This window comes from Homo sapiens, chromosome 14 (genome assembly GCF_000001405.40).
Source record: "Homo sapiens chromosome 14, GRCh38.p14 Primary Assembly".
Classification (NCBI taxonomy): Eukaryota; Metazoa; Chordata; class Mammalia; order Primates; family Hominidae; genus Homo; species Homo sapiens.
The window spans coordinates 61705199-61732972 of NC_000014.9; the positions used below are offsets into that span (position 1 = coordinate 61705199).

The 27774-nt window shown below is 36.8% G+C and overlaps 1 protein-coding gene and 1 long non-coding RNA gene across 4 annotated transcripts in view, besides 1 other annotated feature; one reads left to right on the forward strand and one right to left on the reverse strand.

Annotated features, from left to right (window-relative positions):
• Positions 1–27774, forward strand: part of HIF1A (hypoxia inducible factor 1 subunit alpha) — a 52746-nt gene that overhangs the window by 9686 nt on the left and 15286 nt on the right. For 2 of the 3 annotated variants that reach the window (NM_001530.4, NM_181054.3), the window contains exons 2-7: positions 15184–15374; positions 16311–16456; positions 16541–16625; positions 21508–21620; positions 22255–22457; positions 27220–27326. In NM_001530.4, the coding sequence (NP_001521.1) occupies positions 15184–15374; positions 16311–16456; positions 16541–16625; positions 21508–21620; positions 22255–22457; positions 27220–27326 (845 nt within the window). Of the gene's footprint in view, positions 1–15180; positions 15375–16310; positions 16457–16540; positions 16626–21507; positions 21621–22254; positions 22458–27219; positions 27327–27774 lie in introns of all 3 variants that reach the window. The other variant, NM_001243084.2, reaches the window with a different exon arrangement.
• Positions 10360–27774, reverse strand: part of HIF1A-AS3 (HIF1A antisense RNA 3) — a 35540-nt gene continuing 18125 nt past the window's right edge. Inside the window, exons 2-3 of the long non-coding RNA NR_144368.1 lie at positions 11771–11819; positions 10360–10630 (exon numbers count right to left, since the gene is read on the reverse strand). This is a non-coding gene — a long non-coding RNA (HIF1A antisense RNA 3). The remainder of the gene's footprint in view (positions 10631–11770; positions 11820–27774) is intronic.
• Positions 14541–14590: an enhancer, noted in NCBI's record as "active region_8501". NCBI's record gives its function as "activates an Ori minimal core promoter by ATAC-STARR-seq in GM12878 lymphoblastoid cells {active_cell/tissue: GM12878}" and the evidence as "EXISTENCE:reporter gene assay evidence [ECO:0000049][PMID:35858748]".

Sequence of the window (27774 nt, forward strand, 5' to 3'; positions counted from 1 at the left end):
AAAAAATGTAACCTTGTTCCTTTTAGTGGTCATTTGGTAACAGTTTGATCATAAACAAATGCAGCCTCAAACACAGAAGGCTTGAGGCAAGTATACAGAACTATGGAGAGATCATTTAGATGATGTAGAATATGCCTTTTCTTTTTTTACAATGCCACCAAAATGAAAACACGGTTTTAAAAATTCTCATAGAGTGTAACTTCAACACTGCTTTAACTCTATTAAACAAAGCACTGCCATGTTGTAATTCCTATTTATTACTCTCTGGAGTTGTATAAATTACCAAATCCGCCTTTTGTTTGATATCCTTTTCAAATATCTGAGGGTAGCTATCATGTTTCTTCCTTCTATTCTTAAAAAATAGTCCCAAATTTCTTGAATCTTTTAATTTAAAAATTATATATTGAGCATCTGATTTGTGGAAAGGCATAGGCCATATTAAAAATGGGGCTTCATATTAAAATGGGGAAAAGGGTGGAGATTCTCAGGTGGAATCTGAGATCTGCCACACACTAATAGTGTTACCTAACCCTTTTTAAAGACAAAGAAACAGGATCAGAAGGTCACTTTGGAAAATTTATTTGGTAATATTGGATAGGATGGATTAGTATAGTTGGAAAACAGAGACTCTTGCTTTAGGAGAGCTGCTCCTTTGTCATTTCCAGAATCTTAATCATGGTCAAGGTTTAGAGCTAAATATTTAATAGAAGAAGTCTTTAGGGTATGCTTTCTATTGTACACCCTTATTTCAATACATGTGTTTTTTCCTGTTATGTAAGTACTTTATTATTATTTATGCATCTTCTATTAAAGTTAAGCAAATAATTATTTCAAGGACACATTCTTCTACATACACACAAAGTTTAGGGTCACTGACCTTCTTAGGTTCTAGTCTTAGATCTGTTACCATCTAAGAGCATATAAATAAGGGAAACAGAAAGAAAAGGATTTACAAGCTGAGAAGGAAGCAATGCAGAGAAAGAAGAGTGATAGAGTAGGTAATTTGGGGAAAGTCAGTGATACACAGCTCTTAACCATGAACAGTGATTCTTCACTCTTGAATGTTTGTGACATTCATGAAGGTATTAAAAGCTGACTTTTAAAAAATTGTTTCAGAGAACTGGAAAAAAATTCAGTTGCCACATTCTTCCTTAGGTCATCTTTGAACTCTACTCATGCACTTACGTGTTTAAGGCAAAGTTTTACTAAACGCACACTTGTTCTTGCTGGCTTATTGACTTTTACTGCTAGCTTCTTATTCTTAGCAATTATACCTCACATTACATAGTATTGTGAAACTCACTATATTCAGTGTTTTGCCTGACAAACATGGTATGTTATAGGATGTGTATTCAGTTATAGCTAAAAATAAATTATTCTCGTTTTTCAAAATTTGCTGGCCTACCTGTTAAGCTTTTGCTTTAAGACCTGCTAATGTTTCTCAAACTTCTGTGGTTAAATCACCTGAGTGTCTAGTTGCTCTATGGATTCCCAGGGACCCATTCGCCAGAGATTCTGATTTGGTAATTTTGGGATGGAACTCAGGGATCTGTAAATTTTACAAGCACTCAGAAATGAAACATAGACTTTAAACAGCTAAGAGTGCTCATCAGGATTATGTTGATATTATTTTTTAAACAGATGTGCCAAGCCTTTAATTTGAATTTCCAGGGTTGGGATTTGGCCTTCTATATTTGGGGGAAAAAAGTTCTATTGATGATTGTGGATATATACCACAGGTCAACCATTGAATAGTCTAGTCAGTGTAGTTAGTGTATTTTATAATTACTAAGTTCTAAGTATGTGGTGTATTAATGTCTTAGGAGGTGGATATATTTCCTGTATTTGTAAAGCATTTGGGTAGGTTTTTTAAAGAGAAAAGTATGTAACAAACTAGTTTTGAGCGTTGCTCTTTTACTTCTTTGGGCATTTTTGAAGAACACGTTAAGTATCTTCTTAGAGCAGAGGGGCTCAGAGTGGTCCCCAGATTATCATCATTGGTAACACCTAGTTGGTGCATTACTAACTTGTTAGAAATGCACATTCTCAGGCGCCATTCAGACTTCATAAATCAGAAACTCTGGAAGTAAGGCTCAGCATTCTGTGTTTTTTTTTTCTTTATTATACTTTAAGTTTTAGGGTACATGTGCACAACGTGCAGGTTAGTTACATATGTATACATGTGCCATGTTGGTGTGCTGCACCCAGTAACTCGTCATTTAACATTAGGTATATCTCCTAATGCTATCCCTCCCCGCTCCCCCCACCCCACAACAGGCCCCGGCGTGTGATGTTCCCCTTCCTGTGTCCATGTGTTCTCATTGTTCAGTTCCTACCTATGAGTGAGAACACGCGGTGTTTGGTTTTTTGTCCTTGCGATAGTTTGCTGAGAATGATGGTTTCCGGCTTCATCCATGTCCCTACAAAGGACATGAACTCATCCTTTTTTATGGCTGAATAGTATTCCATGGTGTATATGTGCCACATTTTCTTAATCCAGTCTATCATTATTGGACATTTGGGTTGGTTCCAAGTCTTTGCTATTGTGAATAGTGCCACAATAAACATACGTGTGCATGTGTCTTTATAGCAGCATGATTTATAATCCTTTGGGTATATACCCAGTAATGGGATGGCTGGGTCAAATGGTATTTCTAGTTCTAGATCCCTGAGGAATCGCCACACTGACTTCCACAATGGTTGAACTAGTTTACAGTCCCACTAACAGTGTAAAAGTGTTCCTGTTTCTCCACATCCTCTCCAGCACCTGTTGTTTCCTGACTTTTTAATGATCGCCATTCTAACTGGTGTGAGATGGTATCTCATTGTGGTTTTGATTTGCATTTCTCTGATGGCCAGTGATGATGAGCATTTTTTCATGTGTCTTTTGGCAGCATAAATGTCGTCTTTTGAGAAGTGTCTGTTCATATCGTTTGCCCACTTTTTGATGGGGTTGTTTTTTTCTTGTAAATTTGTTTGAGTTCATTGTAGATTCTGGATACTAGCCCTTTGTCAGATGAGTAGATTGCAAAAATTTTCTCCCATTCTGTAGGTTGCCTGTTCACTCTGATGGTAGTTTCTTTTGCTGTGCAGAAGCTCTTTAGTTTAATTAGATCCTATTTGTCAATTTTGGCTTCTGTTGCCATGGCTTTTGGTGTTTTAAACATGAAGTCCTTGCCCATGCCTATGTCCTGAATGGTATTGCCTAGGTTTTATTCTACGGTTTTTATGGTTTTAGGTCTAACATTTAAGTCTTTAATCCATCTTGAATTAATTTTAGCATAAGGTGTAAGGAAGGGATCCAGTTTCAGCTTTCTGCATATGGCTAGCCAGTTTTCCCAGCACCATTTATTAAATAGGGAATCCTTTCCCCATTTCTTGTTTTTGTCAGGTTTGTCAAAGATCAGATGGTTGTAGATAAGCGGCATTATTTCTGAGGGCTCTGTTCTGTTCCATTGGTCTATATCTCTGTTTTGGTACCAGTACCATGCTGTTTTGGTTACTGCATCCTTGTAGTATAGTTTGAAGTCAGGTAGTGTGATGCCTCCAGCTTTGTTCTTTTGGCTTAGGATTGACTTGGCAAGCATTCTGTGTTTTGAGAATTCTTCCAGGGGACTGTGATGAAAACTGACGTTTGAGAACCTTCATCTTAGAGTAAAAACTTTACATACACATTTTTGTTGTTTTATTTATCTAGCACAATACTTCTTTTTTTTGAAATGGAGTTTTGCTCTTGTTGCCCAGGCTGGAGTGCAATGGTGTAATCTCAGCTCACCACAACCTCCATCTCCCAGGTTCAGTTGATTCTCCTGCCTCAGCCTCCCGAGTAGCTGGGGTTACAGGCACGTGGCAACATGCCTAGCTAATTTTGTATTTTTAGTAGAGACGGGGTTTCTCCATGTTGGTCAGGCTGGTCTCGAACTCCCGACCTCAGGTGATCCGCCCACCTCAGCCTCCCAAAGTGCTGGGATTACAGGCGTGAGCCACTGCACCTGGCACAATACCTTATATATAATCAGGGCTCAAAGATTTGTTGAGAGGCTCAACACCAATTCTGGACCAGGAAAGATTTTATTTATATCACTAGTCAGGAATAATCTAAAAACAAAAAGCACATTCTTCTTACAAGTAATATTTCAATACACATTAATGTAAACACATGGAAAAGTATTAGCTACTTAATAAATTAACATGTAAATGAAAAATTTACACATTATGGCTATTTCAGATGTGATATAGATTTCATTTTCAGAAGGAACCCTCCAATGTAAAACAGTGATTCTTTTCCCCGTTTATTTTACTGCATTAGAAAATCACATTTAAAGTAAGCATTTTGGTGAGGTTTGGAAGGTGAATAAATCCATCTTTTCTTTAATTATGGATATTTAAGAGAGATGTTGTTGTGCCGTTTAGATAATAATGATCTAAACCAAGAAATTTAGTTGCTTTCAAAAATAAAATAAGTGTATGCATTCTGAACATTTTTCTTTAGAAACAAACCATTTCATCTGTTTTTTTGAATTTCAAATTAATTATACAGAATTTTCAAAATTTGAAAATTAGGTTAGCATGAGAAACTGAAGATACTGAATTATATTGCCTGTTCAGTCTATACTTTTCTTTAGGATATACAGTAGGAAAGAAATATGATAGTTCAAGTTAGATTACTACTTCTTTCAGAGTTTTTTGACAAATGCAGGTACAGTGATAGTGTCAGTTCATGGTGAATTTTTGTTAAAATAAATTACAAAAAATTTGTGATCCTGGTATCTTGAAACTAGTTAATATTTGTAAACTTTGCTAACACTGTATATCACTGTATTCTGGTTTTATCTGTGCATCTATGAGTTATATGTGTGTATAGCTACATATGTTTATATTTATACACATACATTACACACAGGAGTGGAATCATACTCAATTTTTTTTGTATAGCCTGCTCTGTTCATATAATACTATATTGTAGCATCTAGTATAAGCAAAGATTAATTTTTGTAGACTTTGCTTTTATCCTGAAATTTTGTGGTAGCTGGTTTAATGGAAAGACAATTTCTGTGACGTGTTTTGTCAGTTAGGGATTGACCCTGGTAAAATATTGCTGGATAACAACAAGCAATGTAAAAATACATTTGTTCCATAAGATAACCTCCGTGAAGGTAGAGACTTGGTCTGTTTTGTTTATTGCACCGTGTCCTGTTCTGGGAAGAGTGTTAGACTCATAGAAGATGATCAAGAAATATTTTTTGAATACATCAATAACATTCTCTAACATGTGGGTATCCTAAAGGTTTATTTTTAAAGTTTATTGATTAGAATTCAGAAGATATTTTCCCAGATAAAATAATAGATTGCTAGCTGTCTTGAAAATGTAATTTATATTTAATTTGAAATGTCAGGTTTTTGCTATTTTTTCCATTAAGTAGAGATAGGGTTTTTAAAAATTACATGTGATGTTTTAAGTATTCTGGTTTTGCAACAATTACTAGATAGAAAATGTAACAACAGATCCTATTAATAATACTTCCAATAATACATATAAAATACTTGTCTAAAAGTAACCCTCCTTAAAAAAACAAAGCTGGCCAGGCGCGGTGGCTCACGCCTGTAATCCCAGCACTTTGGGAGGCTGAGGCAGGCGGATCAAGAGGTCAGGAGTTCAAGACCAGCCTGGCCAACATAGTGAAACCCCATCTCTAGTAAAAATACAAAAAATTAGCCGGGTGTGGTGGCAGGCGCCTGTAACCCCAGCTACTCAGGAAAATCGCTTGAACCTGGGAGGCGGAGGTTGCAGTGAGCGGAGATCGCACCACTGTACTTCAGCCTTGGGCAACAGTGCGAGACTCTGTCTCAAAAAAAAAAAAAAAAAAAGGCAATAGGATTAGGTATCAACTTAATGAAAACTTCGTGACAGCACTTTCTTGAAAAAGACTGTGGAAACCAAAGTTAGTAAACTCCTGTTTCTGCCTGGGTTCGGAAAACATAAAGATGATAAAGATGTTTAAGTATTCCTTTTTTTTTTTTTTTTTTTTTTTGAGACAGTGTCTTGCTCTGTCTGGAGTGCAGTGGCACAATCACAGCTCACTGCAGCCTTGAACTCCTGGGCTCAAATAATCCTCCTGCCTCAGCCTCCTGAGTATCTGGAACTACAGGAGTGCACCATTACACTCGGCTAGTAATTTGATTGGTTAAGAACATTAACTATAACTCACACATTTTCCTGACCACATTTGCTTAGGACAAAACAGTAAAAGACATGAGTGTAGATGAAAGCGATAAGGGAACTAATCTTAAACACTGAACCTCTTTTCAGCAAATTGGCTTTCTAGTTTCTCAGCTCTCTCTTTACACCTCTAAATCTCTTTCCTGGCAAGATCATTTATTTGCCTTGGTTTATGGTGATACTCTTCATTGTTATACTGGTGGGTGATTGTTTTAATTGATAGCTGTTTTTTTCTACTTCAGGAAGATGACACTGCTGGCTCTGCTGGCTCTGATGTTTACCTTGTGGCTAATGCCTGTGTTTGCCTGTGTTCACATTTATTCCACGATTCATTTGTTAACATTTACTAAGCTGCTTTTCTGTGCCAGGAACTTGGCTAGATAAATAAATGGTTGTTTTTGTACACAGAATTAGCTGTCATAATCAGTTACTGTAGCATTTATTCTTGCAAAAATATATATTTATACTTCAACTAGTGATCGAATCTCAACTTATTAATTCATACATTCAGCCAGCACATAATTGAATACTTCTTATGTGTCAGAAACTGTTCTAGGTGCTTGGGATGTTCATTGAACAAAATAGACAAAAGTCTCCGCCTCTATGGAACTTACTTTCCAGTGAAGGTGTGGATTGGTGGGATAGAAAATAAAATAATCAAGTAAGATATGTACTTAGGCTTTCATAAAAATACAGCAGGGCAAGAGGACCAAGATGGAGGCAGTGATCAGGGAATCTCAATGAGGGTGAGACTGCGACAAAGACTTGAAAAAGGTGGAGAAGCAAGCCTTGTGGGTATTTAGGGTAGCAGTAGTCCAGGCAAGGGGAACAACTAGTGCAAAGGCTCTAGGAGGCAATGTGTTTGAAGTGTTTTAAGAACAGTAAGGAGGCTAGTATGGTTAGAACAGAATGAGCAAAGGGGGCAAAGTGGTAGAAGGTGAGATCAAAGAGGTAATGAGGCCATTGTGGAGGCCCATATGGACTATTGGAAGGGCTTTGGCTTTTACTCTAAATGAGGCAAAAACCATTTTAAGCAGAGAGGAGTGATATGACTTGATTTCTTGTTAAAAGGATTATTCTAGTTGCTGTTACAGAAAAAGATTACAGGGGTGCAAAGAAACAGGGAGACAAAAGAATATAAGATTTTCACTGTAACTTATATCTAGTATGCTTGCTTATACTTGAAAATGCATATCCAGATAATTGTAGTAAATTCAAATATTATGTTTATTTAATAGTACTAACATTGATATGCTGGTTAATTATGATTAGGAGCACTAATAAAGCACAAATCAGGGATTCCCAAAAAGAATGTTGAAAGGGCAGTCAGCTTTTCCTGTGCCAGAAATCAAAGTCATAGCAGATTTGGGGCAAATATGTCAAAGTCAAACTTACGCACATCACTACTGAGAAGACAAAGATGAATGTGTGACAGTTTCCTGCCCCCAAGAATCTTTAAGCATTGTGAAGGAAGATTAATATAGCCAAATAACTAGAGTGATCAGTTCTACCAGAGAGGACCAGTTTTGGAAGCCAGAGGAAAAAAAAAAAAAACAGAAACAAAATGATGTTTGAATTAAATCTTTAAAAGTTTCTCTTATAAATTTACCAAGCCACATATTGGGAATGGTACCCCAGGCAGAAGGAGTAGAGTAAGCAAGCCAGAAAGGAAATACTATGGTGCTTTTGAGTAACTGCAGTGTGGCTGAAGAATGTGGAAAATGATGAGGATAAAGAGGTGGACAGGGAACTAGGTAAGGGAGGGCTTCCTTTTAAATAATTAGACCTTGTCCTGTGTACATTTAATGGGATTTTAATCAGGCCATAATGCCAAATTTCTTTACTTCGGAAGGATCTTTATGGTGATGGTTTCAGAAAGAAATTAAAGCAGAGTAACAGTGGTTAGCAATAATGATCAGCTAGTGGTTCCCAAACTTACGTATCATATGCATCTTGGAAGTTTTTAAAAACTCAGATTTTGGGATCCTGACTTAGATCTACTGAATCAGAATTTACAGATTCAAATTCCCAGTGAGGCCTAGGAATTTGAAATGTTGAATGTCCTTCACGATGCAGCTAGACAAGCATTTGGGAATAAAGCATTAGGTGACTATTTCAGTAGACTAAGGAGTGGGAGGCCATTTAAGCTCAAAGGCTATTCTACTTCTCACTATATTTCTAGTACCTAGCACAGTGCATGGTACTTGATAGATGCATCCTTTCTCCCATACCTCGCCCTACACATCTCTTCATGTGTATCCTTATTAATATCCTCTATTATAAACTGGTAAACATGTTTCCCTGAGTTCTGTGAGCTGCTCCAGCAAAGATGGGTTTGTGAGAATCCCAACTTTTGAAGCCTGTCAGTCAGAAGTTCCTGAGGCCAGACTTGCAACTCCTGTTGAGGGGGCAGTCTTGGGGACTGAGCCCTCAACCTGACACTGTCTCCAGGTAGATAGTGTTAGAATTGAATTGAAGGACACCCAGTTGGTGTCCGCTGCAGAACTGATTGCTCACCTGGTGGTGGAGAGAACCCCTCCTCTCCCGATAGGGTTGCAGAAGTTGTCTTCTGTGTTGTTGATTGCTGTGGTGTGGGAGCAGAGGGGGGAAAAAAGCTGTTGGAGAGTTTTTTCCAAAACAATAGGAGATTATTTAGATTTATAAAAATAGAATCAAAGTAGATTAACTGAGCACATTGTGAAATATAGAGTAGAGCTGTGTGTAAGGAGTATATCTTAATGTCAAGCTGACACCAAATTGAATGTTTGCTGGAACGTTCAAAAATCTAAGCTTCCCAAATCTGTGAAAACACTCAGGTTAGTAAACAGTCTTATGCAAACAGCAAGACAATGCTCAAAGCCATTTAAGGAAAAAGAACAGTAACTGAATTCTCTTATGGAAATGTGAGATGTTGTTTTAGTAAGTACTGATGGTGTTATACTTTTTGTTTATTCGTTTGCTGGTATTTCAGTTCCTAAAATTCCTTCAAATATGCTGCAAAATACAAACCAAGAACTTGGTGGATTTTCCATTTGTTTTCCTGTGGGAAATGATGGAATTAAAAACCTTGAGGATTAGACCTTGAGAGTTACCTTCCAGTGTTTATGCCACCATTATACAAAATTCTGGAGGACAAAACCCTTCCCACTTAAAAACCAGTTAGTTTCAGAAAATCACCTCATGTTAGGAGACTGCATCATTATAGTATGTGTGTTAGCTTTAGGTATAGATCTAAAATATTTTTAATATTTTAAAAACTTAAGCCTTTCTTCATTAATTTGGCCTAATACAAGTTAGAATAACTTTAAAAATGAGTACAAACAACAAGGAAGGGCCAGGCGCAGTGGCTCAACGCCTGTAATCCGAACACTTTGGGAGGCCAAGGTGGGCAGATCACCTGAGGTCAGGAGTTCCAGACCAGCCTGGCCAACATAATGAAACCCCATCTCTACTAAGAATACAAAAATTAGCTGGGCGTGGTGGCACACGCCTGTAATCCCAGCTACTCGGGAGGCTGAGGCAGGAGAATTGCTTGAACCCAGGAGGCAGAGGTTGCAGTGAGCCGAGATCGCGCCATTGCACTCCAGTCTGGGCAACAAGGGTGAAATGCCGTCTCAGGAAAAAAAAAAACAGTTTCTGTGACTGCTAGACAAATGTTGAGCAAGTAAAACACCAACAATGTTGAACTTAGATATTGAAATAGCTGCTCTGTACAAATAAAGTCTACTGGGAGTATAGACTGAATTACCATCTTTTGACTCTTTCGCCATAATGATTGGCATTACCGGAAGGGATTACCTTGCTTTGAAGAGCTGCTGGACAGTAGAGCAGAGAGCATCTATTACCATTGTAGGTGCCTTTCAGTTAGGATTTTGGATTTATAAGCAAACTCCAAGAAAGAGCCTGGTTCTGAGTTTCTCTGAATAGCTTAGGTCAAGTCCTAAATTCTGAAGCCAACTCCTATAATTCCTTCTTTATGTCTTTGGCATGTGAAGTAGGCAAATTTCGAACTTTATAATAATAGCCTAGACTTACAAATACTTGCCTTGGTAATCAGGATGAGTTTTTGAGAGACAACATAGTCTAGTGTTAATCGCGTGGACACCAGACTGCTTGAGTGAAATACAGGTTCTACCATTTATTAACGGAGTAATGTTGGGTAAGCTATTTAGCCAGGGTCCTTATCTGTAACATGGTGATAATAATAAAGATTAAATAATAGGTGAAAAATGTTTAGAATACCACTGTGTTATTAGTAAGCACCATGCATAGGTGTTTGGATTTAAAAATACTGGCAAAGGCCAGGTTGGGTGGCTCACACCTATAATCCTCGCACTTTGGGAGGCCAAGGCAGAAGGATCGCTTTAGCCCAGGAGTTCAGGACCAGTCGAGGCAACATAGATTCCGTCTCTGCAAAAAATTTAACAGAATTAGTTGGGCATGGTAGCGTGTGCCTGTAGCTACTTGGGAGGCTGAGGTAGGGAGGGGGAGGATTGCTTGAGCCCACGATTTCGAGGCTGCAGTGAGCTTATGATCATGCCACTGTACTCCAGCTTGGGTGACAGAGCAAGACTCTGTCTCTAAAATAAAATGAAAATAAAACTGCAGGCAAAAATGCCAACTGAAGAGTGAACATGAACTTTTCTTTGCATTTTTCTTGGGCCTGAGACTTTAAGAAGTGCAGGGCAGTTAAAATGATGAGATATAATTCTCACCTATCAGCTCAGCAGAAATTAATAAGATTAAAAAGATGCGTAATATATAATATTGCAGAGTGCATGGGGGAATTGATATACACATTCATGAACTGGCAGAGACAAAAATGGGCACAGAACCATTTGGAAAGCTATTGTGTATTTTAAAAAATTTCAGTAGCACATTTTTTATATCATGAAATTTCACTTCAGAATGTCAGTCCTGTAGAAATACTGACGCAAGTGCAAAAACAACAAAAACCAACTTGTACCTTCAAGGCCAGAAAGAGTTATTTCACCAAATAACATAATTGAGGTACATTAACTTTATTAGAAGTAAATCTGATAATCTGCTCACATTTTAAATAGTTATGGTTTAACTTCAGTTCTTGAAGTCACATATTTTTACAATTAGGAATGCTAACAGGCTTTTTGTGCAATACGAAAAGATGACTTTAAATGCCTACAATTATTTTGTGTCCTTTTATTTTTTTTTAATTTTTACTGACCTACTACAAAGCACTAAATATTTTATGTTCTTAATCTGAAGAACAATAGACATTCTCTATAAAACAACTCTTGCTTATTCATGAACTTTGTACACAAGAAGCTTAATAAGACGGGCTCAAAATTATTTTTCTAAATATATTTCCTATACAAAATAATTTCAAGATATAATTGTTACTTTTGTGTCTAATACTGTATGTTAAATAATAAAATGGTAAGCATGTAAAAACTACAATACCACAAAGATTGAGCTATTTTGCCAGTAGTATACTCCAACTTTAGTTCTAGAACAGTTGTAGAAATGGGTAAACAAACTGTTTTAACTGTACTCTTAACTGAAATATAGTACCTTATGCAGTAGCAGAACATATCAGCAGAAGAACTTCACTTGACCTGTACTTAAAAACAAAACAGATGCAATTTATAAAATTTAGAGAAATATAGTGACCTTATTTGCATGTGGAAAATGTACTTCTTTCTGATCTACATATCTTCTGTTGTGCAATGTAAGCAGTAAAACAAATAGTACAGGATTCATCTCTGTGGGACCTAGACCCCCTGGTCTAACAAATAATTCTTGGTCAGTACTGTAATTCTGTGGTATAAAACTGATAAAATTAGCCTTCCTGTGACTAGACAAGAAGCCGGGCAGTTTAAATGCTGAAACTCACAAGAACTTCAGAAGCTTTAGCTTTAAGCTTTAAGCTTACTTAGAAATGTTATAAGACCTCCAGTAGTCACATATGAAGAATATCATGAAGATTTTTCCATTAAATCTTTATTATAGATCCCTTGATTGGTTTCTGTCTAGACTCATTGTGTGATAAAGGACATAATAATTTTTATCACCTTCATCTAATATAGGTTTGTCAACTCTATATTAGTTGTTTTCTTGAAGGCTGGTTTTCTTCCAAAATTCAGTCTTATTTTCAGTCTACACTAGCTTTTAAATATACTGTCCTTTAGATGCTTTATCTAACCTCAAATTTCTAATGGATTTGTCTTAGACACTTATTGCCACTCCTTAGATAGTCATTGCTATCTTTGAAGTTCTGGACGATACGTGTATTACAGAGGAACTGGAGACATTCCATCACCATAGTTAGCTTGATTGGATACCCTTTAAAAGCATATACTCGCGCCTGTAATCCCAGCACTTTGGGAGGCCGAGGCGGGTGGATCACTTGAGGTCTGGAGTTTGAGACAAGCCTGGCCAACATGGTGAAACCTGTCTGTACTAAAAATACAAAAATTAGCCTGGCATGGTACCACATGCCTGTAATCCCAGCTACTCAGGAGGCTGAGGCAGGAGAATTGCTTGAACCTGGGAAGTGGAGGTTGCAGTGAACCAAGATCTTGCCATTGCACTCCAGCCTGGGTGACAAGAGCAGAACTCCATTAAAAAAAAAAAAAAGCATATATAGCACATATTATAAGGTTTTCAATTTTTTCACCAAGTGTTTCATTTGGGTAGTCATTTATTGGTAGTTTACATCAGTTGAGTGGTTCAGAAAAAATACAGTAAGTTGCTTATAAAATTCTGAACACTTTGGCCAGGCACAATGGCTCAAGCCTGTAATTTGAGCCCTTTGTGAGGCTGAGGCAGGAGAATTGCTTGAGCTTAGGCGTTCAAGACCAGCCTAGGTAACAAAGAACGCCTGGAATGATTGTGGCATTTGAACTAATATTCAGGTTTAACAAGAGATAATTGACCATCACTCTATTTTAGAGGCTTTATTTGAACCAGATAGAAATCTATTTCCCACAGCTATCACTGCCTGTCACCTACAACTTAAGGGGGTTGGGGAGGAAGTGAGAGATTTTCTGTTAGGGCCAATAGGGACCTGCTAGATACCCCCCCATCCTGGGAATGGTGTATGGAACTCCAGTGTATGCTGGAGTTATTATCATCATACTTGTTTTTTTATTTTACTCTTCTGCTTATACAGATCAAGTCTTACGTTTTATTTTTAAGTTTAAATTGAAAACATTTACAGAGAACAATGCAGTGAAATGAAAAAATTACAGACTGCTGGCATTTGCATTTTCATGTAGCCTCAGTGACTAATTTTTTTTTATTGTACAGCATTGAGAAAATCCTAGTTCATATAACTAGTTATAGTTCATATAGATTCATATAACTAGTTTTAAGTGATAATAGTTTCTTCCTTTTTTTCCTCCACCATCTAACCAGATGAAGATAATAGTTTTTAATAGCTCACCGTAAATTTCAAGGTACTCAAGTTAAATTGATCTAGATGCTTGAGTTGAAATTTTTCTATCAAAGTTCAATAACATGCTTACATTCCTTATTAAAGTATAAAAGTCCTATAAACACACAAACTTGAGTAAGTACTAAAACTAGTATCAGTATTGTCACAATACAACATGTTATATTGTAACAAGAGCATTTGCTGAGAACTGTGCTTGTTACTCCAGAATGTTGCTTCTATGGTTGTACCTTTCAACTTTGCAGATCATTTGGAAGGAGGAGAGATTTGGGGTGGAGACAATTCGGTACTTCATTCACAGGATGTAAGGAGGATTAAGTAAAATAATGCTGGCTAAAAGTCCTTATTTAGCATACTGCCCAATGCTCACTAAATCATAATAGCTGTTTTTAACATTTGGTGAAGAATCTATTTAACAGGAGTGAGTTGAGGGGCATAGGAGATCATGTGAGTGTTTAAAGTAGAAGCAGCATTCCCCATTAAGAAGAGAAATACTGTGGAAGAGCAAAGACTTTAAAACACCTGGGTTCAAATCCTATTTGCTACATAATGGCTACTTTTAACCTATTGAACGCCAGTTCCCTCATTTGTAAAATAGGGACAATATTTAACCTATTTACAGGTTGTGAGAGAACTAGGCACCTAGTACAGGGTAATGTTGGCACATGGTAACCTTTAATAAACTGTTGCTATTCAACAAGCTATTAGATGTCACTAGGCAGTTAAGCAAAGGAAGACAGCTTTTGCTTGGTGTGACAATGAAAATCTTTCTGATTTCCTTCTTGGAAGAGTTCCCTGAAGATATGTCATTGTATTGACACCTTTATTTTTGCTAACCTATCCCTCTAAATTCTGGATATTGTGTGTGCCACAGCTTTTTTTCTTCCATATTCCTGCATTTATTTGGCACCTGTTGTGCCAGTAATAGATAAGGGGCTGCTAAGGGAGGAGGCAACCTGCACTGGCTTATAGCTGCTAATGTCAGTTCCTATAGCTTATCGTCAGTGTTATTCATGTGGTAAAAGGGTGAGAAAGTACTGGAGTCTAAAGAAACAAGTAGAAATCAGTTTGTAGCTATTACCGTTCTACCTGCTAACAACTCCTGTTTTCAAGTTATTATGTACAACTTTAGGTAGTTTCTCTAGCCTTAATCGTGGTTTCTCTGTATTGAGACTACTTTTGAATTCTATGAAGTACAGCCTTAGATGTACAGGCTACTTTAAATTTTTGCCTAAAATAAAAACATTCTCTCCAATTACATATGCTGGGGAGGAAACACCTGCTTCCGACAGGTTTAAAGCTTGGTTTTGGACTTTTTGTGAGAGTTCCTTATGTGTGCAGTAATCCAAAATTTGTATAGTTGCCCTTTATAAAAGTACATTAATCTAGTAGACAAATCTCCATGTAACTTAATTACATGGCATCTTCTAATCCTTCTGTGATAAGCAGAAATGTAAAGTTTTATTCAAGTTAAGGCAAACTAACTTGTATACACTTTCCATCTCGTGTTTTTCTTGTTGTTGTTAAGTAGGATAAGTTCTGAACGTCGAAAAGAAAAGTCTCGAGATGCAGCCAGATCTCGGCGAAGTAAAGAATCTGAAGTTTTTTATGAGCTTGCTCATCAGTTGCCACTTCCACATAATGTGAGTTCGCATCTTGATAAGGCCTCTGTGATGAGGCTTACCATCAGCTATTTGCGTGTGAGGAAACTTCTGGATGCTGGTGAGTTATTTTACAAGGGTATAAATAGGCCTGAAAATTAGAAGTTAGAAGTAAATAGAAATTATTTTTAGAAGGTGGTCGCAATGTTTTGATTTTGTATACCTCTTTATATTGTGATATGTACACGTTTAAAAATTTTTCTGTAATTCTCACTATTTTTATCAAGCTTCATTTTTTTCTCATCAGTTATTCTTTGAAATAATCATTCTTTATGCACATAATTTGTTTTGCTTTATTCTCTTAAACATACTCTCAATTCTTTTCTAATATAACATCCTTTTTATTACCTGCTTTTAAAGCTTTAGTCAGGAATAAGATACTGGCTTTTCCCCTCCCCCCTTTTTCTCCTGTTCCATCTACCTTTCTTCCTTTAAAAAACATGACTCAGGCCGGGCGCGGTGGCTCACGCCTGTAATCCCAGAACTTTGGGATGCTGAGGCGGGTGGATCATGAGGTCAGGAGTTCAAGACCAGCCTGGCCAAGATGGTGAAACCCCATATATACCAAAAATATAAAAAATTAGATGGGCACGCTGGTAGGTGCCTGTAATCTCAGCTACTAGGGAGGCTGAGGCAGGAGAATTGCTTAAACTCAGAGGGCGGAGCTTGCAGTAAGCCGAGATCAAGCCACTGCACTCCAGCCTGGGCGGCAGAGTGAGACTCCATCTCAAAAATAATAAAATAAATAAATAAATAAAAAACATTACTCTTCTTTCTTCTTCTATGGTTTGCTTTGCTGCATTACTTTAATCATGAAAAGCAGCTGGCACATCTAATTATAGTTTTTCTAGCTTCTGGCCTGCACTTTTCTGTGTTGAAATGGCTGTATATATTAAATAAAGTGTCTGCGAGAAAACTTTGTAAAAACATCTAAATATTATATCATTTAAGTACAACTTTTTAACTAATTATTTTCCTCTTCTTGTGCCCTTTTTAGGTGATTTGGATATTGAAGATGACATGAAAGCACAGATGAATTGCTTTTATTTGAAAGCCTTGGATGGTTTTGTTATGGTTCTCACAGATGATGGTGACATGATTTACATTTCTGATAATGTGAACAAATACATGGGATTAACTCAGGTAAAATGCACACATATTAAGAGCTCTTCTATATGTTTTTATGATTTTATGATCTAGCCCTAATTTTTAAAAATGTGTTTACAGTTTGAACTAACTGGACACAGTGTGTTTGATTTTACTCATCCATGTGACCATGAGGAAATGAGAGAAATGCTTACACACAGAAATGGTAAGAAAAGTCTGTTGTTTGATTTAATGTGACAGGTGGTTTTACATAATAAGATACTATTGCTAATTATTAAACTTTGCTATTGTACTTACCCAAGGCAAAATGTTATTTCATGTTTAATAAAATGTCTATTCTTTGTTAAAACTATTATTTTAGTTTTTAGGAATTTCATTTTGAAAGCCCACCTAATTGCATAAATAATTGTGTGGGTGTGAGAAATAAAATGGAAAAGTAAAATCATGACCAAGAGAGTTACAAATAACTTTTTTTTTTTTTTTTTAAGATGGGGTCTCGCTCTTTTGCCCATGCTGGAGTGCAGTGGCACAATCAGCTGACTGCAGCCTTGACCGCTGGGACTCAAGCGATCCTCCCACCTCAGTCTCCCAAGTTAGCTGGGACCACAGACGCGTGCTACCATGCCCAGCTAAATTTTTAAAAATTATTTGTAGAGACAAAGTCTCACTATGCTGCTCAGGCTGGTCTTGAACTACTGGGCTTAAGCCATCCTCTCACCTCGGCCTCTCAAAGTGTTGGGATTACAGGCATGAGCCACCACGCCCAGGCTACCTTTTTTTTCCTTTTCTTTTTAAATTGTGATAGGGGTTCTTGCTGTATTGCCCAGGCTGGTCTTAAACTCCTGGACTCAAGTGATCCTCCTGGCTCAGCCTCCCAAAGTGCTAGGATTATAGGCATGCGCCACCACACCTGGTGGAGTTAAAAATTAAAATACACCATTAAGGCAAGGAGAAATTATAATACAAATGGCAGATAATAGGACTTTAGACAGTCATTAAAGTTGAGGTGCCAGTTTGAGTCTAAGGCCCAATAAAAAAAGTTCACCAGAATTTTAAGACAAACAACTGCTTATTTGACTTCTTTGGATGTTCTCAATAATTCGAGACCGTGTAGTTAGATTATAAAGTATTACATTGTGGATGCCCACATATTAACAAAAATAGAGAGTAAGACCTCTAATTCTTAGGAATTAATTGTTAAAAATAATCAAGTGTTCCAAGATTTTTTGGAAACTACCTCTTGAATTAAAAAATTAAAGTCTTTCTACATTTTTATCTTGTTAAACAGTGTATACTGATCATAATTATTTAAAAAATCATGTGTTCTAAGATTTTTGGAAAGTACCTCTTGAATTACAAAAACAAGAAAGTCTTTCCACATTTGTGCCTTCTTAAGCAGTGTATACTGATCATAATTGAACTTTTCTTCATGATGGAAAGTTACCACAAGGAAAATTTCTTATGTTCTGCTGTTCTTTGTTGCTCTCCAATTTAAGTGCATACGTTTGTTTGCTTCTATATTATAAAACCTCAAATTTACTTTTTGTATAATTTTTGAGGTTTTCTTTTTCATCTCATTTATTATAATAATAGCTAACCTCCATTGAGAGAATGCTGTGTGCCAGGACACTGTTCTTCCTATTTTATATGCTTTTAACTCCTTTATTCCTCACAACAACCCTGTGAAGTTAACTGTTAGACAATTTCTATTTTACTAGGAAACTGAGGTACAGAGTTACTAAGTAACTTTCCCAACATTATTTGGTTAGTAAATGGCAGAGCTTGGGCTGAACTTCAGTAGACTGGCTTCAGAGTCCACGCTCATTAGTCCTTTGGAGCGCTTTTCATATTCTTGAATTCTCACATTCTGTCTTTTTTCACTCTGTCAGCAGGACCTGACTCCTGTTTTTAAATTTCATATTGTGTTTTTACTGTTAATTTGGAAAACAAATGCATACTTTTTAGAATTCTGTATAAAGGAGGAGTAAATATGCTGTGAACAAGGACCTAAGTGGGTTGTCAATGAGTTTAATATATGAGTTCTAATGTGCAGAGTTGAGGTTTATATTGACTGCTCAGTGCTTCCCTGGGGCTAGACTATAAATGGATGGATATTAGGAAGTCTTGTTCTGATTTGGTAATGATGTTAATGCATTATTCTAAATCAGATAGTCTTAATATAGTTTAAATGTATGTTTCGAACCAAATGTTCTTTTTTAAAGCACACAAACATTTTGAAATCATTACTAATGTGGTTAATGAATTATTGATGTTCCATTGGGAAACTAAAATGCAGATTTTTCTCTTTTAGAAATCAGGGACTATTGCAAAGCATCACATTTTAGTGATACACTGAGAGCCAGTGGTGTGTTTATACAAATAGTCCTATTTTCCAAATAAATTCTAGAAAAATGCTTTAGAATTTATAAATTATACAAAATATGACTTATTTTTAGAGAGTTTAAAATTTAGGTTTTTTTAATGGTTTGTTTTTGTTTGTTTGTTTTTTGTTTTTTTTTTCCTCATTAGGAAAACACTAGTACTTTTCAGTTACCTTGATTTTTAAATTAATCTGCAGGTCCCCATTCAAAGGCCTTGGGTTCCTTTCAAAGGTCAGTATAATTCAAGCTTAGTTTATGAAGGACTGAACATACCCAAAGGATTTTGCATGTGGATCTTTACTGCCACTACCACAACCATCAACACCTACACACACACGACACACACACATTCTCTCTCTCTCTCTCTCTCTCTCTCTCTCTCCCCCTCCCTCCCGCACTCCTTCCCTTCCCCCTCCTTTGCTCTCATGGCATCTTTTAAAAATATACTCTTAAATCCTTCCAGGGAGGGCAAATTCACTTCTTAATCTAAGTAAACCCAAATGGCATGCATCAGCACCAGGACTGCCCATCTTTCCTAGTTCCATTATTCATAGAGTATAGGCTGGAATTCATCTTGTTCCTCAAGAGTCCAGCATTTCTAGTTAACCATGCCTACATTTAAACTTACTCTCATTTCTTTTCTACTTTACAGTGTTTTTTCAATATACTAGCATTACAGTTTCCAGATTTGATTTCTCTCCTGTCTTATTTCCATCAGTTTTCAAGTCTATTAAGATTCTACCTCTTCATTTGTCTTTTGCCACCATTCTTTTCCCTCATACTCTACTGGCTCAGCCCTCTCATTACAGTCACCTAATTCTAACATATATATTGCTGCTAAGTTAATTTTCCTTAAGTTACTGATTGTGCTTTTTTAAAGCCCCTTGTTGAATATTTAGGCAGGACTCCATGTGGACATCCACAGCCCTCCGTGGTACAGCCCTAACCTTCCCTTCTAGCTTTGCCTTACTACTCTTCTACGTGTACTCTACATTGTGGACAAACTACTATATGCTGTTTTTCAAACATGTCCTATTTTTCCTACCTCTGTGCTTTTCATTCTCTTACTTCTCCTTGGAATACCCTTCTAACCCATCTCTACTTACTGACATTCTAATGTCTCTTTTTCTAAGCAAGACTTCTTGATTTCCCTTGACTAGAAATTATCTTCTAAGCTCTCCCTATCCTTCTTTAAAGCATTTTTATAAGTCTCAAGTACCAACTCTACATTGTGTTTTTGTTGACCTTACTATATCTACTACATTTTTAACTTCTTCAGGAAAGGTGGCGTATCTTACTCATCTTTGTATTGCCTACAATATCTAGTCCAGGTTCTGAATAATAAATATTTTTATATGTGTTCTGAAGCACACTGACCAATGAAGATAAGAAATCAAGAGGCTAGTTCCTTATTTTTTTTAATTTTTTTTTTTGAGACAGTGTCTCACTTTGTCACCCAGGCTGGAGTGCAGTGGCACAATCTCAGTTCACTACAACCTCTGCCTCCCGGGTTCAAGTGATTCTCACGCCTCAACCTCCCAAGTAGCTGGGATTATAGGCATGTGCCACCACACCTAGCTGATATTTATATTTTTAGTAGAGATGGGGTTTTGCCATGATGGCCAGCATGGTCTCAAACTTCTGTCCTCAAGTGATCTTCCTGCCTCAGCCTCCCAAAGTGCTGGGATTACAGGCATGAGGCATAAGCCACTGCGCCCAGCAAGATGCTCTTTTCTCAGTCACCTAAATATAATCTCATTTTTAGTTATAGAAGGTTTGAAATTGGAGTGAATAGACTTTACTTAATTCTGACTTTATTTCTGTAGCTTTTTTTTTTTGAGATGGATTCTCGCTCTATATCCCAGGTTGGAGTGCAGTGGCACAGTCTCAGCTCACTGCAACCTCTGCCTCCCACGTTCGAGTGATTCCCCTGCCTCAGTCTCCCAAGTAGCTGGGATTACAGGCACCCACTATCACACCCAGCTAATTTTTGTATTTTTAGTAGAGACAGGGTTTCACCATGTTGGCCAGGCCGGTTTCGAACTCCTGACCTCAAGTGATCCTCTTGCCTCAGCCTCCCAAAGTGCTGGGATTACAGGCATGAGCCACCGTGCCCTGCCTATTTCTGTAACTTTTGATAAGTCATTTGATCTGTTGTTGTTGTTTTCTCATAGTAACAAAGTAGAAGTAATTTTCTGCCTGCTTTACTAGATAAATTAAGGGGAAAAAAATAAGATACGTAAAAATGTTATTTGTTATTAAAAAGAAAGTTGTTATTTTAAAGGTTCTATAAAGACATAGAGTGCTTATTAGAAATTGAGCTAACACATTCAGGAAAGGATAGGAAGAGTTTGCTGAAGTTCTTTCTTTAGGGATTCTTGTGTACCGATAGCACAGTTAAAGAGCAAACTCATACCATTTTTATATTTCTGTGTATTTGACTAAGCTTACTGGCTTCAATGATTAACTGTTATCCCAAATATGGATTATCTTTCAGCCAACTCAGGGAATCACAGCTACTGAGTAGTGTGTGTCAGATCTCTTGGGTGTGCTGGAGTGAGTAAAAGGGGAATGAATTACTGTGTTCATGCTGAGACTTAATTGAACGGGTATTCAGTTGATCTAGGTGATGGGCACTTTGTTACTTTTATTGTAACAAATTTGTATATTTAGTTGCTTTAAAACTTTATTTCATGCTTTCATTAGGCCTTGTGAAAAAGGGTAAAGAACAAAACACACAGCGAAGCTTTTTTCTCAGAATGAAGTGTACCCTAACTAGCCGAGGAAGAACTATGAACATAAAGTCTGCAACATGGAAGGTAAGTGAAAATTATTTGTGATTGATTATACACTTTATTTATACATAGACATTGTAGTATTAAGATAACTTTAGAATTGTGAGGGAAGGTTTACAGTTCCATGGTGTTTGGTTATGTAACATTTATATCTTCAACTCATTTGCATGTGATCTCCAAAATGCAGAACCGTGTAGTAATTTGCCAATTTGAGGCACAAACTTAAATTACGTGAATTGTGGCACTGGTGTTCCAGGCTTAATCAGTTGGCTTTGCCAGCCACACAATATTTGAATCCTGATAGGGCTTAATTTTCTATTAATCATGGTTTTATATCTTTGTTCAATGTTGAAACATAGTCATCAGTGCAAGAAATAACTATCAAACAGCCATGATGATGAGATGAATGAAAAAGCAGCCTAGACTTTATACGAGGGGAATTTTTTAAAGAGTAATGTATAGGCCCTGGGCAGGAAGTAGGTCATAGGTGGTATCATAGGAAAAATGTTCATTGATTTTCAAAAACGTGATTAATCCACTAGTGACAGTAAATTTTATCAAAGCTTACTGGCCATGTCAGACTCAACTACTTATCTCTGCTTTTTTTTTCCCTAGCATTGTAAATATTTTTTTTAACTGCTTTGTTCTTCATACACAGGTATTGCACTGCACAGGCCACATTCACGTATATGATACCAACAGTAACCAACCTCAGTGTGGGTATAAGAAACCACCTATGACCTGCTTGGTGCTGATTTGTGAACCCATTCCTCACCCATCAAATATTGAAATTCCTTTAGATAGCAAGACTTTCCTCAGTCGACACAGCCTGGATATGAAATTTTCTTATTGTGATGAAAGGTAAATTAGATCTAAAATGTGAATTTGAAATTTTTAATTAGTCTACAGCATTACTGAATATTCACCATAGCAAAGATTCAGCGCTGGCCATGCATGGTGGCTCACACCTGTAATCCCAGCACTTTGGAAGGCTGAGGCAAGCGGGGGGTGGATCATCTGAGGTCAGGAGATTGAGACCAGCCTGGCCAATGTGGTGAAACCCCATCTCTACTAAAAAATACAAAAATTAGTGGGACGTGGTGGCAGGCACTACTCAGGAGGCTGAGGCAGGAGAATCGCTTGAACCTGGGAGGTGGATGTTGTGGTGAGCTGAGCTCACACCACCACACTGCAAGCCTGGATGACAGAGCAAGACTCCCATTTCAAAAAAAAAAAAAAAAATTACTCAATGTTAAACTATACTTTCCACTAAATTGAACAGAATGATACATCCTATAATATTAGATTAACTTTGTAAATTAATTCAGCCACATTTATTGAACATTTACTCTGTACTATGAACACTTACTTTACTAGGTGCTATCCAGAAGTTAAGATGAGTCTTTTTTTCCCCAATAGGGGCTCTACTTACTTAGAGAATTTCAAAGATATGCAGTGTGTATTTTGAGCAAAGATAGATTACCTTAGGTTGGGGACTAGAAAGCCAAGTGTTTGTACATCTCTTCATCCTACATATTTTCCCTGAGAAGCTTCAACCTTGCCCATGGTTTCTATTACTATTTCCCACATTTCTTCCTGTAACTAATTCTATTTAATTGCCAACTTAATATTTCTATCTGGATATTCTTCTGTATTGTAAACTAAGTATTACTGTAACAACTGTACTACTACTGCCCCCAAACAACATCATCATCAAAAACTGCCTTTCTTCCTATAATGCTTATTGTGGTTTAATACACCACCATACACACATGACTCCAGCAAAACTTTGGAAGTCATCTGTAACTTTTCTTTTACATTCATTGGCTACATACAGTTGGTGTCTAAATCTTACAGATTTACTATCTACATATATCTCTTGATCCATTTCCTCCTTTCCATCCTTGCACTCCTGCCATTGAATTCATTAGCTCATTATTACTCTTGACTTGAGTTGTTGGCATAGCTGCCTTTTTGCCAACAGATTTGTACCCTTATAATCTTTCATCTAAGTTGCCAGAAAGTGGGTGTCCTAATGTGAAAATCAGATCATGTCATTCTGTTGTTGAAAATGCCTCAAATGCTTCCCTCCATCTTTGCACACAAAAATATTTTGTTTATAAAAATACTAGATGAGGGAAGTAAATTTTTCATTTATCAAAAGAAGATGTGTATTTTAGAAGACTGAAAAAAAATAGACCTACACAATACAATCTAAACTTAGCATGGCAAACAAAGATATTTATGCTCTGGCCCTAACTCTGTCTTTGGAATCAGATGTTAGATTCACTCATGGCTTGCAGCTCTGATACTTACAATGTGGCCTTGGCCTTGGTACTTAACTGTTGTAAAATTCACATTCCTTATCTATAAAATAAGAATCATGGCTGGGTGGGGTGGCTCATGCCTATAATCCTAGCACTGTGGGAGGCCGAGGTGGGTGGATCACCTGAGGTCAGGAGTTTGAAACCAGCCTGGCCAACATGGTAAAACCCCATCTCTACTAAAAATACAAAAATTAGCTGGGTATGGGGGCACATGTCCGTAATCCCAGCTACTTGGGAGGCTGAGGTAGGAGAATTGCTTGAATCCAGGAGGCGGAGGTTGCAGTGAACCAAGCTTGCACCACTGCACTCCGGCCTGGGAGACGGAGTGAGACTCCATCTCAAAAAACAAAAACAAAACAAAAAAAAGACCTCAGAAGGATGTTGTCAGGATTAAAGGAGTCCATTGAGTGCCTAGTACAGATAGTGAATGCTTCACTACTGGTGTCAACTTTAAGAAAATGAATATAGAAAAGCTAAGAATTATTTTAAGGTGTTTACTACTAGCATGTAAATGTATGATGGGACAGAGATTTCCATCCTATTTTGAGGAATTATTTTTTATTTTTTTGAAAACTTAAGGTAACAAAGTAGAGAGGAGGCCAGGGAGAAAGGAAGGTAGTGGAGCAAAAATGAGAAAGGGAGTGACATTCCCCTCTAGTTATAGCAGAAAATTAGCAAAATGATCATGACAGGAGGTAACAGTAAAGACAGCCAGCTCATATATCAACCAAGACAGTTTTGAGTTTGACCAGCAGACTGTTATTTTCTGGTTTAGAGCTCTTTCCAGGAACTTCTTGCATCTATAACCCCTGAGAACCAAGCTATGGAAAAAATTTTGCTCAATTTTAAGAAAATCTAACATATCAAGCTCCTCAACTCCAAAATATTCCACAAATAGCTGCTATTTACTATACTGAGTAATAATCATTTAAAATTATTCAACACTTTATTTGAGCATCTACTATGTTCATGGCACTAAAGTAGAAATGAAGATGAACAGTTCCTGCCTCAAAATAAATGAGTAGTATACTGCTTTAGATCATGGGTTTCCTAGTCCATTAAAAACACTTTTTGGTCATATTTTCTGGACACCCCGACCCTTTTGGTATAGAATATAACCTATGTAATTCTCTAAAGTTAAATTAACCTCACTTTTCTTGCTCTAATATGTGTAAAACTGACCTTCTAGGAAAGCATATACAGTTTATATTTTTGACTTCTTGGTATCTTTTAGTGATAGACATACCTCAGATTGAGAAGCACTGATTGACATTAGATTAAATCAGAGCTTCCTATGACAATATAAACAATACCTTCATTAATCTGATCCCCCTACCTACTTCTTCAGCATCATCTCATATCTGTCTCCACTAATCATATTATAGAATCTTTGTTACCTGCACCATGTTAAGCATTTTTAAAAATCTTTTGTTTATACCATACCTTTTTCCTGAAAGCGGTTTTGCCTTTCCTTTGTCTCTAGTCATAAGTCTCCTATAAGAGGCTGTTCCTCATTCTACCATTCCTTTGCATGGATAGGATTCCATGGAATAGATTCTCATCACTGCATTTATCACATTATTTCCTAAGTAGTACAGTACATCTACTGGAAGATTAGCCACGTATTGAGTTTTGTCTTTGCATTTTCATGCCTAGAATAATGCCGGGCACACATAGGCATATTAAGATTTGAATAGTGAAAAAGTTTTTAATTCCATGGGGATTTTATTTAAACAGAAAAATATAAGACCAATTAGAATTATTTTTAAAGCATAATTTCAAGAAATATGACTGATTTTGTTTAAAAACATGTTTTCCTTTATAATGCTGCCACCTGGTGTTGCTGTGTTTAGAGATGTCCCTTTGTAAAGAATTGAGGGTTTGAGTTGAGTTTGGTTTGGTTTTTGGCAAATCAGCTTTTCCTTTGTATATTTATTTTGTAATAAACTATGGAAGATCTTGCCTTTAAGTGTGAGAACACAAGCAATGTTACTTTTATACCTTTATAGAATATCTTGCCTATGTCCTTCCTGTAGTTAGGTAGGGTTTTTTTTTTGACACACAGCATGTTATATAAGGTTTGCTTGCACCTCGGTAGGAAAGTCCTCTGAAATCTAAAGGCTGAGAATCTAAAAGCTTAACTCATGTTTTGCTCCTAGAAAGACTTGAGAAGAGAGTATTTCTGTTCAGCATGGTACTAAGAAGACAGCTTTCTCTTCCTCATGTCATGGTTGCCATTTCATACTGCTTACAGAGAATAAGATCTAGTCTCTGTCTTAAATAAAGGTCTACTCTCTGCCAGCGAGCTAGATAGGGTAATTGGATTGTTTTCCAATCTATTTTCATTTGAAATATTGTTTTATCTGAAATTACTCCCATAATTTCATGTAATGCCAAAAACTAAACTAAGTACAAGAGCATCTTCAAAAACCAACATAATTCCTTTAGTTCCCATTTAGTGTAGATGCTCTTTGGTTGATGATATTAGAATTGTGTAATGGCTATTGATCTCTCAAAGTGAGGTGTTGCCTAGGGGCTTAAAAGTTACTACATAAAGAATTTGGCTTTATGAAGAAATGTTACAGATTTTATCTATATTTTAAAATAAGTGTAAGTGACTACCTTTATAACTTTTACCATGTAGTTTAGTAGTATTTCTTATCTGTTTATTAATACCCTGCCTTGTTACCAAAAGTATGTATAATGAGATGTAATAAGAATAGGTAACAAGTAGGCTGGGCACGTTGGCTCATGCCTGTAATCCCAGTACTTTGGGAGGCCAAGGCGGGTGAATTACCTGAGTTCAGGAGTTCAAGACGAGCCTGACCAACATGGAGAAACCCCATCCCTACTAAAAATACAAAATTAGCTGGGCATGGTGGCACATGCCTGTAATCCCAGCTACTTGGGAGGCTGAGGCAGGGGAATCGCTTGAACCTAGGAGGTGGAGGTTGCGGTGAGCCAAGATCACACCTCATTGTGCTCTCCAGCCTGAGCAACACGAGGGAAACTCTTGTCTCAAAAAAAAAGACCAGGTAACAAGTTTGGGTGAACAGGATTAAAGAGTTAAATAACAGGAGGAATCTAGAGGACTTAAAGAAATGTGTGGTGTTGGATTTAATAACTGTAGTTGCCAAAGGTGAGGTGTAAATTTATTCTAAGCAAAGGAGGATGCTCATTTTTGAAAATTCACTTGTCCATAAGATTAATGCCTATCAGTTAACTTGGGAGGAGAAAAATTTTTCTTTATCAGTGTCTCCCTTTTTTTTCTTAAATCTTGTATTTTTTACTAACAGAATTACCGAATTGATGGGATATGAGCCAGAAGAACTTTTAGGCCGCTCAATTTATGAATATTATCATGCTTTGGACTCTGATCATCTGACCAAAACTCATCATGATAGTAAGTACAATGGAAGAACTCAGAGATATTCTAATTACTTAACTGTTGCAACCTCTGTACAGTTTGGCTACCCATCTAATTCTCTGGTTAAAAGTTCTAGACTAAATGTGTTAACAGGCCTATTCAGTAGAGATCTTGACCATTTTGTGTTTTGTATGTGTTGCAACAAATATCAGTAAAAATAGAATCATTTAATCATAGAAAAAACTTCCTGGCATTTTAAATACAAAGACTTTTGAAAATCCAAATATTATAGAGTATTGAATAGCATAATTTTCAGAATTCACATAAATACTCAGAACAGTGGTTGGTATGTAAAAGGCACTCAGAAAGTATTTGTACAATCAATGAATGTGAAGGTGGTGAACATCACCTTTGGTAATAAGTACCATTTTAAAAAATGCTTATAAGTGCATAGTTAGGTATTTATATTTATGGGTTCATGAAA